This window comes from Homo sapiens, chromosome 8 (assembly GCF_000001405.40).
Source record: "Homo sapiens chromosome 8, GRCh38.p14 Primary Assembly".
Taxonomy (NCBI): Eukaryota; Metazoa; Chordata; class Mammalia; order Primates; family Hominidae; genus Homo; species Homo sapiens.
In genome coordinates, this window is record NC_000008.11 from 60,472,984 (window position 1) to 60,491,021 (window position 18,038).

The window sequence follows — 18,038 nt, forward strand, 5'->3', positions numbered from 1 at the left end:
GGTACTAAGTCAGTCTGAGCTTGGGAAGGCCATTAGGGAAACTGGAACATCTACATAAATAGAATGGGTAATATGCCTAGAGTTAATCAGTCAATTCACATATAAAGAATACATGTTCTTCTGTTGATCTTGATGAGGTGTTTTGATGGATATCAAGCATTTAAGTTTTAGAGTATTTTTACTTATCAAGAGTTGTGCATAACAGATACTTGCTCCCTAGGGAATGAAGCAAGGCTTGAAAATGGGATGAGGGAGTAAAAGCTAGTAATGTTTGGTTTATGTATTAGTCAAGAAAAGAGTCACTGCCAAATTTTGATACATTCAGATGTTCTCCGTTTGAAAATGTCTGCATCAAAGTGTCCTGCTTCCATTCCTCACCACCTACTCTTTGAGGTATCCTAATACGCACTTGTGGAGTCTACAAAGATGAGCAAGCTTTGTCCTTGCCACAAGGGGGCTTTAAAGTACAGTAAGAAAGGATAGGAAACCATGTGATTAACTACTCCCCTGGAGAATGAAATGAATGTGCAAAGGACCAACATCACATGTGTTACCAACAGCTCCATCAGCTCAATAAATCAAGAGTTCACCAAAGACACATACAAGTTTCCCAGGGCTTTTGTGAAGGGGAATGTCATATACATCTTGTCTTGTCTCAGAAATCTTTGAGGTCACCAACAAGGCTAAGATTTTAATTTTAAGGACTCTAAAAAGTTCCAGAGGCTTCAAGGGGTCCATGAATCCCCTGAAACTATATGGAAAAGAGTCACTTTTGAATCTTTATGTGCATTTTTCTAGAAAGAAGATCCATCACTCTCAGTAAGCTCTCATATGGCTCTGTAAGTCAAAAAAGATTTCTCCTAAATTTGTTCTAATTGTAATTTGAGTTTATCTATGACCTGCCATTACTCACTTGAGAGTTTCCTATCACTTCAATCACAAAAATTGTTATCACAAAGGTGAGCAAAAGGCATTAATCAGATAACTTGATTCTATTTCTTGCAGGCTATGGCTTCAGTGTTCTTAGAAGTCTCTGAGTACTTCCACGTGGTTCTGATGGGTCACTTTGAAATTGAGCTAGAAATATAAAATTAAATTAACTTTACTCCTAATTGAGCATCTTAACAGTCATAATTAGATTTCATTTTATTTTGTAAATGACCTAAGCCATTTATTAACCATATGCCTTGAGCTATTTACTTAAACTCTGTGCCTCAATTTCCTCATCTACAAAATGAGAATAATAGTAAAATTCACCACAGAGTTATGATGATTAAAAGGGTTAATATTTGCAAAACACTTAGATTAGTACCTGGTACAAAGTAAATGACACAGACGTGATAAATGAATACCTTTGGATTTATCGTCAAAGCCTATGGATTTACCCCTGTCTGTATTGTGGAATACGTGCAATTGAAGTTCTTGACAAACTCTCGGTGACTCATTTCTTATTAAAACCTTAGATGTAAGATTTAGTGTTCAAGGAAGCTTATCTAAAGCATGAACTGTCCATCCATTTTTAAGATATTCTAACTTATGTCTCTGAGTCAAAATAAGTCTTCCCTGAGACTTATACTTTGCCACATTGTCTTGGCACTTAATAGAATTGCTTTTGGTGAGTTGTGTTGGTCCCATGCTCCTGCCTTGCCTAGAAAGACCCTTCAATAAGCTGTTATTCTCCCTGTGCATTTGTCGAGGATATCAATGGGATGTTGTTCACTCTAGAAGACACTAGTGGTACCCTACCCACAACCCTTTACCATGCTAATGCACCCACCACTTCTGCCCATCCATAGCATCCACGCACATCAACTTGTAACAGCTCAAAGCTATAACTCTTCTCCAGAAAACTGTTCTCAACTATCAGGAGCCTTGTCATCTGGAGATGTCTGGGAAATTATATACCAGACCCCACTCCAGTGTATAAAGGCACAAAAGCCCAGGCTTCTTGCCTCAAGACAGGACAACTTCATGGTGCCTTTCAGACTTCAGAGCCGTCCTCATGAGACCAGGTTGTCGTCAGCTGAAACCACATCTTTGCTGGGATTCTTCCTCTGCTTCATCCTTCTTTCCTCACTTCCTTCCAGGTTTCTCCTGAGAACTCTCCCTCAATTATTTGTGCAAGAAACCCTATTTTAGACTTCACTTCCAGGAAATCCAACCTAAGACATCCATTATATCATATAGTAATATGATATGCTAAGCATGAGGGTGGGTTTTTTTTCTCCCAGGCTTCAGTGCCAAAAAGCATTGTGTTCCTTAGTCTCTCATTCCCCTTCCCTTCTTTCTCTTCCCTTCCTCATCCACCTCTTCCTCTTCATCTCCCCTTGCCTCCTATTCCTCCTCTTTCCCTCTCCTCCTCTTCTTTCTCCTTACCTCCTCTCCTTCTCCTTTCTTCTTGCTCCTCTCTCCTCCCCCTCCCCTCTTCCTCCTCCCTTCCTCTCTTCTTGTCTCTTTATTTCTCCTTGCCTCCTATTCCTCCTCCTCCTCTTCTCTCCTCCTTCCTCCCCTCCTCTCCTCCTCTTCACCTTCTCTCTATTCCTGCTTTCTCCTCCTCTTTCTCTTCCTCCTTCCCTCCTCCCTTCTTTGCTTCCTTATCCACTCCTCCTGTCTTCCTCCTCCTTTCTCCTCCTCCCCTCTCCTCCCCTTCTTCACCTCCTCTTCTTCCTTCTTACCTTCTCATCCCCTCTTCCTCATCCTCCTCCCTTTCCTCCCCCATCTCTCCTCGTCTTTGAAAAAGAAAGAAGAAAAAAAGATTGTGCTCTTCCAAAGTAAGTTCTTCATTTTTATCTTAGCCCTAGGACTAAGTTTTCATTTTTATCTTATTTTATTTTATCTAGTTTTCATTTTTATCTTAGCCCTAGGACTCTTTTAACTGAAGGTGCTTTCCTCTTTACTTTGCTTGCCATGAATCTCAGAACCAAATTTCAACCCATTTCTGTTGTATTTCTGAGTAGCAACTTTACCCTTAGCTTTATTCTATGTTTCACCTTTTTTTCCTCTTTCCCAAAACCAATCAATCAATATATGTTTTGTACTAGGTGGAATAAAAATAGGCTTTATTAACACAAATAAGCTTTAAAAGGAGTCATGACGGCTGGGCACAGTGGCTCATGCCTATAATCCCAGCACTTTGGGAGGCTGAAGAGACAGGATCACTTGAGCTCCAGAGATCATGGCTGCAGTAAGCTATAATTGTGTCACTGCACTCCATCCTGGGTGATGGAGTAAGACCTTGTTCTCCCCAAAATTTTAAAAATTAAAAAAAAATAAAAAGTCAAGATTCACTTTCCTAATTCTTATTTTGCAATCTATATTGAACATCATTGTTTGAGGTCTGCCCAGTTCTCAATCCCCTTCTTCCAGTTGTAGCACTCCCAACTGTCCTTTGGGAATTACAATATCTGAATTCAGTTCATGTGGTTTAGGTGTGCTGACTCCGTCCTCCTATTTCAGGAGAGGGGCTAACCTGGACCACACAGAATCAGAGCATCATAGTCCCCTGTTACTAAATGGGTTTGAGACAGGAAGGGATAGAGTACAACTAAAGCCGTGAAGTTCAATTCTGAGACTTCGATTGGATTAATGAGGAGAAAACATCTTTCCTTCCCTTGAACCACTTCATAGGATTGCTGAAAATACAAAATAAGCTTGAAGTGAAGTGATTATGAGCCATTCATCTCACCCCTACAAGGGTGAGGCTGTCTGAGATGGAGACAATGCTGAGAAAAGCAGAGATGAGGGATGCAGAGAGACTACGTGTTCAACATCTCGGTTGAGCTCCCCTTTTTCAGTTACCTCCTTCTTTTCCTAAATCTAATTTGAGTTTGATTTCTGTTCCTTGCAACCAAGATTCCTGACTAATAACAAAGACAAAAATATATGGTTATTTTAACAGTGAATATCTATAAGGGGCTGGGCACAGTGGCTTACGCCTGTAATCACAACACTCTGGGAGGCCAGTGCAGAAGAATCACTTGAACCCAGGAGTTCCAGTCTAGCCTGGGCAACATGGTGAGACTGTGTCTCTACAGAAAATTTTGTAAACATTAGCCGGGCATGGTGGTGCCTGTCTGTGGTCTCAGCTACTTGGGAGGCTGAGGTGGGGGGATCGCTTGAGCCTAGGAGGTCGAGGTTTCAGAGAGCCACGATTGCACCATTGCACTCCAGCCTGGGTGACAGAGCGAGACCCTGTCTCAAAAAAAAAAAAATCTGTTAAGAGACAGTAGTTTTTTGTGTGCAACTTGTTCTAACATCCAGAAAATCCAGGGATAAAAAATGTTTAAACCTAAGCTTTAATGCTACATATGCGTTTCTCTTCCTTGTTACACAAATTTGAGAGGCTGTACTATACATCTTGAAAAAATAGAATTATTTTACAGCAGTCCAGTTGGAATTGATTATATAGCATTTAAACTTTAACAATAGTTTTCTAGGAATGACCTTGGGGCCAGAAGCGGTGGCTCACGCCTGTAATCCCAGCACTTTGGGAGGCTGAGGCAGGTGGATCACTTGAGGTCAGGAGTTTGAGACCAGCCTGTCCAAAATGATGAAACCCGATCTCTGTGAAAAATATTAAAAATATTTTTAAAAAATTAACCAGGTGTGGTGCCATGTACCTGTAATCCCAGCTACTGGGGAGGCTGAAGCAAGAGAATCCCCTGAACCTGGGAGGCAGAGGTTGCAGTGAGCTGAGATCGTGCCACTGCACTCTAGCCTGGGCAACAGAGTGAGACTCCATCTCAAAAAAAAAGAGTGACCTTGAGTGACCTTGGGCAGAGTAGAGAATGGAGTTGAGAATTTAAACTAATTGGCAAAAAGGAAGGGCAAATCTTGGTAAAGATAGTTGCATGTGAAGGAGGACACAGAGACTGCATTAAGCTCAATTTTCAAGAAGGATAACTTCTTTGTGTTTTACTATCATGTTACCCATCTTCGTGGTTGTTTGAATGGTACAAGAAGCTATGAAATTTATATATTTTGTATTCTCTGCTGTTTAGGGAAGAACTCTCTCAAACCACGTTTTTCCTCTGCTTTCAAAGCACAACAGTCATCAACACAGCAGAAGACTTCTGTAACCAAATGAGTGAGGAGTTTTTCCCACGACCAAGCAGTGGATATCAGCTGGGTGTCCCCCAATTCAATTCCTGGAGGTAGTGTCAGATCCCACAGGTTTAGGGCTCGGTTCTCGAGACTGCACCAAGAAGTGTCTCTGGAACTTCTGATCAACCCACTTCAAGTTGGGGGTCCCATGACCCCCTCTTTGGGTTCTATTAATTTGCTGGAGCAGCTCACAGACCTCAGGCAAACACATTTACCAGTTTACTATGAAGGATACAGATGAAGAGATGCATAGTGTGAGGTATGGGGGAAGGGGTGCAGAGCTTCCATGCCCTCCCTAGACACACCACCATCCAGGGACCTCCGTGAGATCCACCATGGAGTTACTTGCTGAACCCAGTCCTGTTGGGTTTTTATGGAAGCTTCATGATGTCAGCATTCCTTCCCCCAGGGCATGGGGGTGGGGTGTCTTATGACCCACAATCAGAAAGGCAGGGAATGATTAGAATCTTGCCTGGGAGCAGATGAAAAGGAGACAGGGAGAAGGTTGGAGAGATCCTGTTTCCTTAGTCCTAACACACCCATAATAAAAGACTGAAATGGCCAGCCTTGGTGGCTCACCCCTATAACCCCAGCACTTTTGGAGGCTAAGGCTGGAGGATTGCCTGGAGACCAGCCTGGATGATATAGCAAGACTCCATCTCTAGAAAATATTTTATTTTATTTATTTTTACTTAATTATTTATTTATTTTGAGATGGGGTGTCACTCTGTTACCCAGGCTAGAGTGCAGTGGCATGATCTTGACAAACTGCAGCTTCAACTTCCCAGACTCAAGTGTTCCTCCCACCTCAGCTTCCTGAGTAGCTGCAACTACAGGCATGAGGCATCATGCCTGGCAAATTTTTGTATTTTTTGTAGAGATGGGGTTTTGCCAAGTTGCCCAGGTTGATCTTGAACTCCTGGGCTCAAGTGATCCATCCACCTCAGCTTCCCAAAGTGCTAAGATTACAGGTGTGAACCACTGCACCCCACTGCTTTCTTCCATCTTTAGTGTCAGGCAGGCTTTCCTTGAACCACCCAGCAACTCCAGGCTCACCTCCTCCAGCATGGTGTGAACACGTGAGTCATCTTCCACACTGAAAGCAAAGTCCTGGAATTGAGTCGCATTAGGCCACCTTGGCTCTCATGTCCATTCCAGAGTCAATCACTGTGGCCAGAGAAAGTGGATAGATGCTCTACACAGAGCCCTGGGTGACATGCCCATCCCTGGAGCCTGGGGTAAAATCAACCCATCTAGAGCACATGCATGGGAAGGGCAGTGGGTGATTCCCTAAAGAATACATGGGTTTTGTTACCAGAAGAAGGGAGTGATTGCTGGGCAGTTAAAGCCACCCATGTCATTTCATCACTGGTGTACATTTTTCCTGATTCTAATCACTGGACTGATAGTCTGCTTGGCTTCATTCAGCAGTGCTACTCTCTCATGTATGAGGGAAGAGCTTGGTGCTTGGGGGCTGTTGTAACTGGGTTGTTTGGATGTTTATTAATGAGTGTCTTAGAGATCATGGAAGCAGGATGAAGCAAAGGAAGAAGTCAGGTTGCAATGCCCTCCCACTGGCATCCTCAGTTGACACCCACCACCACAACCACGGGAGCTCTAGAGCTACGGGAGACCTTCAAAGTAGTCCCAAGTTGGAGCAAGAGAGGAGGCCTTTATACCCTGGGGTCCATTAGTCAGATGTGCACCTTGTTAGGATGGGAGCACCGTCCCGGGCAACACAGCTTTCCTCAGCTGAGGTTGCTCTGAAGGGACTGACAGCAGAGGGCTACCGAAGACAGCACTTCTGGGGTGTGGGGGTAACCAATCCTGGTTCCTAAAGGAGACTGAAGCTGCATATCAGAGACCAGCACAGGGACACCCAGTACTGGTGGGGTGCAAAAACTTTGTCCCAGGCCCCCAAAAGGTAGCAACCACACCACCTTAAATAGTGATTTTATAAATGTCAGCACTTAATCAGTAAGAATGATTACTTAAAATTATAAAGTCTATTTTTATTTTTAATTATATTTTAAATATATAGACAGAGACACAGTCTCACTATGTTGCCCAGTCTGGTCACAAACTCCTGGGCTCAAGGAGTTTTCCTGCCTTGGCCTCCCAAAGTGGTGGGATGACAGGCATGAGCTACTGTGCCCAGCCTAAAATTACAAAACTAACTTCAGGAAGGTTTTGTACTTTTTGCCCCAAGTGCCACAACTGTTGGCTATGGCTCTGCCTAAGGGCAAATTTTGTGATTGGATCCTGTGAGAATTCTGAGTCAGTCATGAATGGCAGCAGGTATCTGGAACCAGGATACCAATTTCAAGGAGACAAAGATGAGTCGGGAGTGTCAGCAACCTGGAGGTATTTATGATTCCCAAGACTGGAAGTAATAGCTGGCTCCATGGGCTTATGGGTACCAACATGTCCTTCTGGCTGAATTGTCTCTCCCTTGATTAATAAGATGTTTAGGTAGAGAATGAGCTTAATCTTTCCCACTGGCATCTAATGCCCATAACTCAGCAGATTTTATTATTTCAACCAAAAAATCAGGTATTCTCACAGCAAGGGGGTGTAGGTGCGAGGGCTGACCCCAAATCAGTGTTGGAACAACCATACCAGGGTAAAAACAAGAACATCTTTCCTTCACCTTCCAGGCTTATCATTACCCATGATTTACACACATTGGCAGTGAAGGATCATTAAACATGAGAAAAGGACAAAACAAACAAACAAAAAACCCAAGGCATTTGGTAGGAGACAGAGCTTAGAAGAAATGAACTTGTAGAAGTAGGAGGATAAACAACCTCACTGGAAATTTAACACATTTGAAGCAGTGGTTGGTCAGAACCATTGCTAGGAAAAATATGCATCTGATCAGCCAGTGAAACATATAGTAAATAATTTTTAAGACTTTCAAAGCTCATGCTTTAATCTCTAACTGATAAGGAATTTAGGAATGGATTGCACACTGGAGGTAAAAAATGATTCGCCAGATGACTCACACATCTGAGAACCTTCAGCTCCAGCAATATGTGGAATGTAGTTCTGCTTAGGACAAAAACCAACCTGAGAGGCTTTTTGGTTTTGGTTTTGGTTTTTGTTTTTGAGACAGAGTCTTGCTCTGTCGCCCAGGCTGGAGTGCAGTGGCACAATCTTGGCTCACTGCAACCTCCGCCTCCTGGGTTCAAGCGATTCTCCTGCCTCAACCTCCTGAATAGCTGGGATTACAGGTGCCCACCACCAAGCCCAGATAGTTTTTGTATTTTTAGTACAGATGGGGTTTCGCCATGTTGGCCAGGCTGGTCTCAAACTCCTGACCTCAGGTGATCCACCCACCTCGGCCTCCCAAAGTCCTGGGATTACAGGCATGAGCCACTGTGCCTGACCCCTGAGAGGTTTTTGTCTGTGGATTGGATTGGCTGGCTGAATTTTTTCTTTTTTTCTTTTTTTTCTTTTTTTTAGACAGGGTCTTGCTATGTCACTCAGGCTGAAGTACAATGGCATGATCACTGCTTACTGCAGCCTGAAACCTCCTGGGCTAAGCGATCCTCTCACGAATGGCTGAGACTACAGGAGCACACCACCAGGCCCAGCTAATTTTTAAATTATTTATAGAGATAAGGTCTCACTATGGTGCCCAGGGTGGTCTCGAACCCCTGAGCTCAAGTGATCTGCCTGCCTTGGCCTCCCACAGTGCTGAGATTATAGGCGTGAGCCACCATGCCTGATGAATATTTTTTTAGTTAGAAAAATCCAAGGACATATTTTTTCAAGTTGTGATACATTTTTTTTATCATTGTACATCACTGTGCTCATAAATTTGTTCAGTCAACTCAAATATTTGAAGAAATGTAAAATCATCAATATCAATCTTAGAGTATATGCTATAGAATCATCAGAGTTCAGGAGAAATAGAGAAGACTAGGTAGTTTAGAGGAGTTAAGAGTCAGACACGCCTGGGTTCATTTTACACCTCTGTCACTTACTAGTTGTATGGCTTTGGTAAATTTCCTCATCTCTCTGCATTGGTTATTCATCTGTAAAGTGGATATATAAAAATATCTATCACATAGTGGCATTGCCTGAGGTAATGCAGGCAAAATGATTAACCCAGTGCCCGGAAAACACAGTCCACTAAAACAGTGACTGCTGCTTCTGTTGTGCTTTTGCCACCATCGTCACTGGGATGGTTGTTATAGAATATCTAAGCCTGAAGTATAAGACCCCTGGAAGAAAGGAGGATATTCTGACCTATGCTTCAAGAAGGTGTCTAATCTTTCAAGAAAATTGTGGCACCAAGAAAAAGGAATGAAAACAAAGATTAGTTGAGAATCCTGCCTTTTGTTTTCACTTGTTTTCCTCCAATGGTTGGGTGAAAGCAAGCTTGAATGCAAGGTTTTTTCTTTTCTTTTCTTTTTTTCTTTCTTTTTTTTTTTTTTTTTTTTTTTGAGACAAGGTCTCATTCTATCACCCAGGCTGGAGTGTAGAGGCACAGTCACAGCTCACTACAGCCTCAATCTCCCAGGCTCAAGCGATTCTCCCACCTCAGCCTCCCAAGTAGCTGGGACTACAGGCACACACCACCATGCCTGGTTAATTTTTAAATATTTTTGTAGAAATGGGTCTCACTATGTTTCCCAGACTGGTCTCAAACTCCTGGGCTCCAGTGATCTTCCTGACTCGGCCTCCCAAAATGCTGGGATTAGAGGTGTGAGCCACTATGCCCAGCTGCAAGTTTTTTCTTAAACAACACATTTACCTGAAAGCCTAGAATGGATTCAGGAAACCCAAGAGCTACCCAGGGTTTCTGGATAATTCTCAATGCTGGGGCTTTACCATGCACCATGTGTGGAGGAACAAGGCAATCCTTTGCCTCCCCAGGTATGTGAGAGGCAAGGGGAAGTTCCTTCTCAGCCCTATAGCAGTTTCCAGATTGTGTAATTTAGAAGCTAACATCAGTTCCACCACCACAGGGTGCCACTCCCTGACTTTTTTTCCCCCCTGAGACAGGGTCTCATTCTGTCACCCAGGCTGGAGTGCAGTCGTGCAATCAGGCTCACTGTAGCCTCCACCTCCCAGGCTCAAGCGATCCTCCTACCTCAGCCTGCCAAATAGCTGGGACCACAGGTACATGCCACCATGCCCAGCTAATTTTTAAACTGTTTTGTAGAGATGGGGTCTCATTATGTTGCCCAGACTGGTCTTGAACTCCTGGGCTCAAGTGATCCTGCGGACTCAACCTCCCAAAGTTCTGGGATTGTTAGGTAGCTAGGCAGAGATGAGCAGGACATGAGAGCCCCCAAGTCCCCAGGTATATCAGGTGACCACCAGGTGATGTTCAGGCAGTTGTTAAACTGCCTCTCTGAAATAATAATTAGTTGCAGCTGGTGCCAGGGAAGGGCAGTCTCCCAACAGATAGAAACACCTGAAGCTGGTGATCAGCAGCTTCCCAATAAGATCTCAGGAGCTGGGCAAGTGGGCTCAAGCATGCATGCCAAGAAGCAAAATGGAGGAATCTAATTGGTATGTGATGTTCTTCTAAAAACATTCGACTGGTAAGGGGAAAACGCCGCGAATGAACATGCACACAACTTCAGTAAACACACTGAGCATGTGACCCCTCTCAACCGCTGGCAGGCCACTGCACATGCAGACAGCTCACCCCAAGGAAAAATCAAGGGAGGAGAGACAAAGCCCCAGAACCATGACCATGCAAATGTTTACAACCCCAAGTCAAGGGTCCAGACGAGGCACTTGGATCTCTCAGGTTGCCCACTTGGCCCTCTTCCAAGAGTAGTTCACTTCCTTTTGTTCCTGCTCTAAAACTTTTTATTACACTTTCACTCCTGCTCTAAAGCTTGCCTCAGTTTCTCCCTCTGCCTTATGTCCCTTGGTTGAATTCTTTCCTCCTAGGAGACAAGAATCAAGTTGCTGCAGACCCATAGAGATTTGCCACTGCTAACAGGATTACAGGCATGAGCCACTGTGTCCAGCCTCCCTGACTTCTGTTTATACAGTTTCTGCTTTCAGGCTCTCCAGATCAGTAGCAGGAAGATATGTATTACTTTTGCAGCATGAATTACTCTTAGCCTCAGCTCTTTTAGGAGTCCAAATCTTTTGACATCAACAACATGGATTATTGTCATAAGATCAATATTGGTAACACAATTTTTAGAGACCTACATGACAGTCACAATACATTCTGTCCACGTGACAGTCACAAATTCTGTCACTTGCTCATGTTTTTACCAGCTCCTTTCCAGTGAATCCCAAGACTACCTATAGAGCAAGTAAATTAATAAGTAATAGGTTGATCTAGGAGTGGACTTGTGTAACTGAATTCCTAGAACAATGCTGTTTCCACAATAATTAATTCATTTGCTTATTCATCAGGCACAAATATACATCTGTATTGAGTCAGACTCTGTGCTGGATACTCAGGATATAAAAGTGAAAAATTAACTCCCAGTCTAATCAGGAATTATTTGCTATTTATTTAGATGCCACACATGTAAATAAATAAGTGCAATAAAGTGTCTCAGATGCTATGTTCAAAGTGAGTCTGGTTGCTGGGCTTGGTGGCTCACGACTATAATCCCAGCACTTTGGGAGGCCAAGGAAGGAGAATTGCTGAGGTCAGGAGTTCAAGACCAGCCTAGCAACATAGTGAAACCCTGTCTCTATAAAAAATTTAAAGAAATTATACTACCACACTGGTCTTTTTAAAAAATAAAAACAATTTAAAAATTAGCCAGGTGTAGTGGCATGCCTGTAGTCCTAGCTACTTAGGAGGCTGAGGTAGGAGGATCACTAGAGCCCAGAAATACAAAGCTTCAGTGAGCTATGATTGTGCTACTGCCCTCCAGCCTGGGTGACACAGTAAAACCCTGTCTCCAAAAAAATAAATAAACAAACAAAAAAGTGAGTATGAGAAATACTGATTTTACCTGGGAAGGTCAGAAAAGGCTTGGTACCACAGCTGACTTCTGAGTCTTGAAAGATGAGTAAATGGTCACTGGACAGATATTTTGGGTGAAGATGGCAGAGAACACATTCAGTTTATTTTTTTAACAATTTTAATTCAAAAATTTATAAAATATGGAATGCTTCATGAACTTGTGTGTCATCCTTGCACAGGGGCCATGACATTCAGTTTAACAGTATCATCAATATCCAAAAAATAGCCTGATGTGCAGCTTGGGATGGCCACAGCCTGTATAGGGGAAGGCAGGCATTACCTCAAAGTAGAGCAGCGACATAGACTAGTCAAATTGATACATAAAATTAGACAGCACAGGTAGGTAGGTAGGAAGGGAAGGAAAAGGAAAAAAGAGTCCAGGAAGAACCCTGAGATTATGGTTCTTAGGGTGGGGCAAAGCAAGAGAGGGCCAGGGCAGCAGGGCAAGGAGGGTGACCCCAGAGACCCCAGGAGAACCACAGACATCGTACCTGCTCTTTCCCCCAAAATGCTGCAATGGTCAACAATATTAAATGACACAGAAATTAGAAGATGAAAAGTGAAAAGAACTCACTGGATTTGGTCTTTGGTCTTTGGTCTTTGGTAATGTACCAAGCAGTCTGAGTGACGTAATGGAGGTAGAAACTTGAGTGAAGTCAAAGGGAGATGGAATTATTAGAAAACAAAAGCAAAGATTAAAGTCTGAATTGGTGAGAGTGAAAAGGATGCTCATATACTGTTAGAAGAAGTGTAAATAATATGAATTTTTGTGTCAAGTTTTTAATAGGATCATACCATTTGACCCAGCTATTCTACTACTAGAAAATTATCTCAAGGAAGTGAATATATATCTATGCCAAGATTTAGTTATAAGCTATTCATCTGAATGTGGGTTTTAATGGTAAACAAATAAAAAGATAAATTTAAAAAGTTTAAAAAAAAGAGAAAAAAAGAAACAACTTCAATGTACAATAATAGGGTATTAGGTATACCAATTATGTTCTAGCCAGAGCAGATTTACCATGAAGCTAATAAAAATTAAGCTTTGGGCTCCTTACTTGCATGGACCCCTTCAATACACTGGGAGAGAGCCAGACATGGTGGCTCATGTCTGTAATCTCAGTTACTTGGGAAATTCAGATGGCAGGATCCCTTCGGCCTAGGAGTTCAAGTCCATTCTAGGCAATATAGTAATACCAGATCTCTAAAACAAAACAAAACAAAACAAAACAAATACATACCAAGAAAGAGGGCCTTAAAATTTTATACAAATAATTCTATAATCTTTTCCTTAAAGAGAGCTCTCCTAATTGTATAAATGTTATGGTCTCCAAATCTAGATTACCATTGAGTCTGTTTATATAATTATAAAAATAAGGTTGTATTCAATAATAAGACAAATAACTCCCCTCCCCCCAAAAAAGATGGCAAAAGATTTGAACAGGCATTTTTATCACAGAAGAGATGTTAATGGCATAAGGAAATGCAAATTACAACCACCATGAGATACTACTTCTCATGTACTAGAATGGCTAATTTTTTTCTTTTTTAGATGGAGTCTTGCTCTGTTGCCCAGGCTGGAGTGCAATGGCATGATCTCAGCTCACTGCAACCTCCGTCTCCCAGGTTCAAGTGATTCTCCTGCCTCAGCCTCCTGAGAAGCTGGGATTACAGGCATGCACCACCACCCCCAGCTAGTTTTTGTATTTTTAGTAGAGATGGGGTTCACCACGTTGACAAGACTAGTCTTGAACTCCTGACCTCAAGTGATCCACCTGCCTCGGCCTCCGAAAGTGCTGGGATTACAGACGTGAGCCACTGCCCCCAGCCTAGAATGGCTAATTTTGTTAAATGCTGGTGAAGATGTAGAGCAACTAGAGCTCTCCTACATTACTGGTAGGAACACAAAATGGTAGCAGCACTTTGGAAAACAGTTTGTGTGCAGAACAAAGCAACTCCATCTTGAAAGTTAATCCGCCACGTTGGCTTCTGATTAAACCCCGTTCTGGAAAGGCCACTAAGATTGCCAGCTTATCTATTGTTCTTTGTGTCAGAGCAGGTACTTACTGTAAATCCTGCCCTTAGGTCAAACAACCTTGATGTTATCATACTTTATTTGTCCTACACATCCCTTCTGAAACACCCTCTTCTATGGTACATATAAGCCCTGGGTCTTGGGTGTAATGGTGCTGGGATCCACCTTCTTTTCTTGCTGCCGCCCCAGGCACAGGCATGGCTTCTGCTTGTAAGTCCCTATTAAATGTTTCCTTCTAAGAAACTGCGTTTATCAGCCTCTTTTTTTCCGTCTCTTAGCCTCCTTGGACTTTGGGGTACATTTGCATAGATCTGCCCACCCCAGAACAGTTTGGCAGCTTTTTACAGAGCTAAACATGTACTTACCATAGGACCCAGCAACCTCACTCCTAGGAATTTATCCAAAATAAATGAAAATGTAGGTCCACACAAAAACCTGCACACAAATGTTTATAGCAGCTTCACTAATGATTGCCAAAATCTAGAAGCAACTCAAATGTTCATCTACTGGTGAATGGATAAACCACCTGTGGCACATCTGCACAATGGAACAACACTCAGCAGTGAGTAGAAATGAACTACTAGTACATTCAACAACATTAATGTATCTCAAAAGCCTAATTTGAAGTGAAAAAGAGCCAGACACACACACACACACACACACACACACACACACACACAGCTGCATACTGTATGATTCCATTTCTATGACATTCTGGGAAAGATAAAACTAGCAAAGAAAATTAGATCCATAGTTGCCAGGGGCTGGGAAGGACAAGGGAATTTGGGGATGACAGAAATGTCCTGTAACTTGGTTTCTGTGGTGCTCACATGACTGTATGTATTTGTCAAAATCACCAAACTGAGCACTTTAAAACAGTTTTAATGTATGTAAATTATACCTTAATAAATCTGACCTGTAAAAAATTCAAATTATCCTGGCATGGTGGCTCATGCCTCTCTAGTCATAGCTACTTGGGAGGCTGAAGCAGGATTGCTTGAGCCCAGGAGTTCAAGGCTATAGTGCATTATGATCATGTCTTTGAATAGCCATTGCAGTCTAGCTTGGGCAACATGGCAAGACCCCATTCCTCAAAAAAAAAAAAAAAATTGAAGGGCTGGGCATGATGGCTCATGCCTGTAATCCCAGCACTTTGGAAGGCCAAGGTGGGCGGATCACTTGAGCCCAGGGGTTTGAGACCAGCCTGGCTAACATGGTGAAACTCCATCTCTACTAAAAATACAAGAAGTAGCCAGGCATGGTGGTGCACACCAGTGATCCCAGCTACTTGGGGGGCTGAGGCACAAGAATCACTTGAGCCCGGGAGGCAGAGGTTGCAGTGGGCAGAGATCACACCACTGCACTCCAGCCTGGGTGACAGAGCAAGACTCTGTCTCAAAAACAAACAAACAAACAAACAAACAAAAAAAAAACTGAAGTTGTAGAAAATATTTAAATACATAGAATAGTAGTCATATAGTATTGATAAGTAAAGCAAGTCATATAGTATCGATCAGTATTCATTTTCATAAGTCCAGCTTTGTATGCTCAGATAGACAATACATGAATACATTTACAGAGGATAGAACATAAAAACAACAAATTTCACCTATAATTACTTTTGAGGCATTGGATGACACATGAATTTTAACATTATACTTTTGCCCATGTGTATTTTTAAAATTTTCTTTATTAAATATGTATCTCATGTAATTCTTTTTTTTTTTTTGAGACAGAGTCTCGCTCTGTCGCCAGGCTAGAGTGCAGTGGTGTGATCTTGGCTCACTGCAACCTCTGCCTCTCAGGTTCAAGCAATTCTCCTGCCTCAGCCTCCCGAGTAGCTGGGACTATGGGTGCACACCACCATGTCCGGCTAATTTTCGTATTTTTAGTAGAGACAGGGTTTCACTATGTTGGCTAGGATGGTTTCTATTTCTTGACCTCGTGGATCTGCCTGCCTCGGCCTCCCAAAGTGCTGGAATTACAGGCGTGAGCCACTGCACTTGGCCATAATTTTTTTTAAGTAGGTTTTGTTGATTGAGGTGGAGTTGAGGGATTTTAAAGAATGAATTATAGATGGAGAAATTAGAGACAGGGATTCTAACCTCTTCTTATTGGCTTGCCAATTTAGGGAAAAACTTACTAGAAGGGGATTCAGTCAAAGATGGATTTTTTGTTTGTTTTTTATTTTAAAGGGAGAGTGAGACAAGACACCCATGCAATCAAGAGCTCAAGATATGGTACTCCATGAGAGATACAGTCATCGAACAGCACTGGGAGCAAGTTCCAATTATGCTCCAAAGCCTGGATGACTCATCTGTCTCTGAAAGAAGCTTTCCATGATCCCAGCCCACCCTTTTGTTCAGTTTTCTCCTTGGTAGTCACCCATATATACTCTGAGATCAAGCCAAGGGTTCACTCCTTATTCCCAACCACAGCCTGAGCTCTCCTGCTCCATGCCTCCTTCACTCTGTTCCTCTGCCAGCCTGGAATGTTCTCCCCATCTCTCCCTCTTTTCAAACGAGAAGCAGCAGTCAATTCACCTGCACTCTACAACACTGCCTATACCTCCTTGGCACTCACTCCTAGCTTCAGTCTTATAGTTACCTGTGACTCCTCTCCCTTCCATTAACCTGAACCCCTTAGGCATCTTTCTGTCCTCCACAGCACTGAGCATAAAGCCTTATCAATGTTTGTTGAATTTCACTGAAGATGGCATCAGACTTGGGGTGCCAAATTATGATACATCCATAAACTCAAATACTTGTAGAATAGACTGATTATGAGATTAGTCCCAAATTCAACATAATTCTAGGAAAGAAACTACATTGATGCTCCATTCCAGAACATAAGTCCTTGTACCTTGGAAATAACCAGTGATATGACTTAAACAATGTTCATAGTTTTATTAGTCCATTCTTACAGTGCTATAAAGAACTACCTGATACTGGGTAATTTATAAAGAAAAGAGGTTTAATTGACTCACAGTTCCACAGGCTGTACAGGAAGCATGGCTGGGGAGGCCTCAGGAAACTTACAATAATGGTGGAAGGTGAAAAGGAAGCAGGCACATCTTCATATGATGGCAGGAAAAAGAGAGCTAAGGGAGAAGTGCTACACACTTTTAAACAACCAGATCTCATGAGAACTCACTCACTATCACTAGAACAGCAAGGGGGAAATCTGCCTCATGATCCAATCACCTCCCACCAGGTTCCCTCCCCAACACTGGGAATTACAATTCGACAAGAGATTTGTGTGGGGACATACAGCCAAACCATATCAATAGTCTATTTCTTTTTTTTTTAACTGAGTCTTTCAAATTTATATCCCTTTTTAAGTATGTTTTCAGGAACAACTACCAGCTTGTTTTTACTATTGAATGTCATGTCTGCATACTTTGTGAGAAAGGATCCAGCTGTGCTTTTTTAAAATAGGAATGAGTGCTGTGGATCATAAATTGGCTGATAGAGATGTTCATTTCTGAACTACAAAAGTCCAATTATGATAAGGCATAATTATGACAAAGTACAATTAATAGAAACATGCCACCCATGTGTGTGCTTCTTATAGCTGAGTGACCTGGAAATCACTAAATGCAGGTCACATAGTAAGTATTTTTTAAATGTTCACATAAATCATTCTTGTTCACATAGCCAATCAGCCTTCCCACAGCTCTTGAATAGAATTTTTGGGTTATATGACCTAGGTCATCTTGTAAATGTGCAGGTTGCCATGAATGTGGGCACAGTTGGATGGAAGCAGGTCACTCCTAGGACAATACAAGGAAGATCCTGCCACCTTCAAGTTGTGTCTCTAAAGGACACAAAGCCTGCTCAGATGCTGTCAACAGATATTGTAAAGGTCCTTCACTATGTGAGTCAGAAGACCAGAGAAACTATCTTTAGAGATCTGGGAGATCATCAGCCTAAAGGTACT

At 42.4% G+C, this 18,038-nt stretch overlaps 1 annotated feature.

The window, feature by feature from the left end:
- Positions 287 to 581: a silencer, noted in NCBI's record as "tiled region #15457; HepG2 Repressive non-DNase unmatched - State 13:Ctcf". NCBI's record gives its function as "represses a minimal TATA promoter and a strong SV40 promoter by Sharpr-MPRA in HepG2 cells {active_cell/tissue: HepG2}" and the evidence as "EXISTENCE:reporter gene assay evidence [ECO:0000049][PMID:27701403]".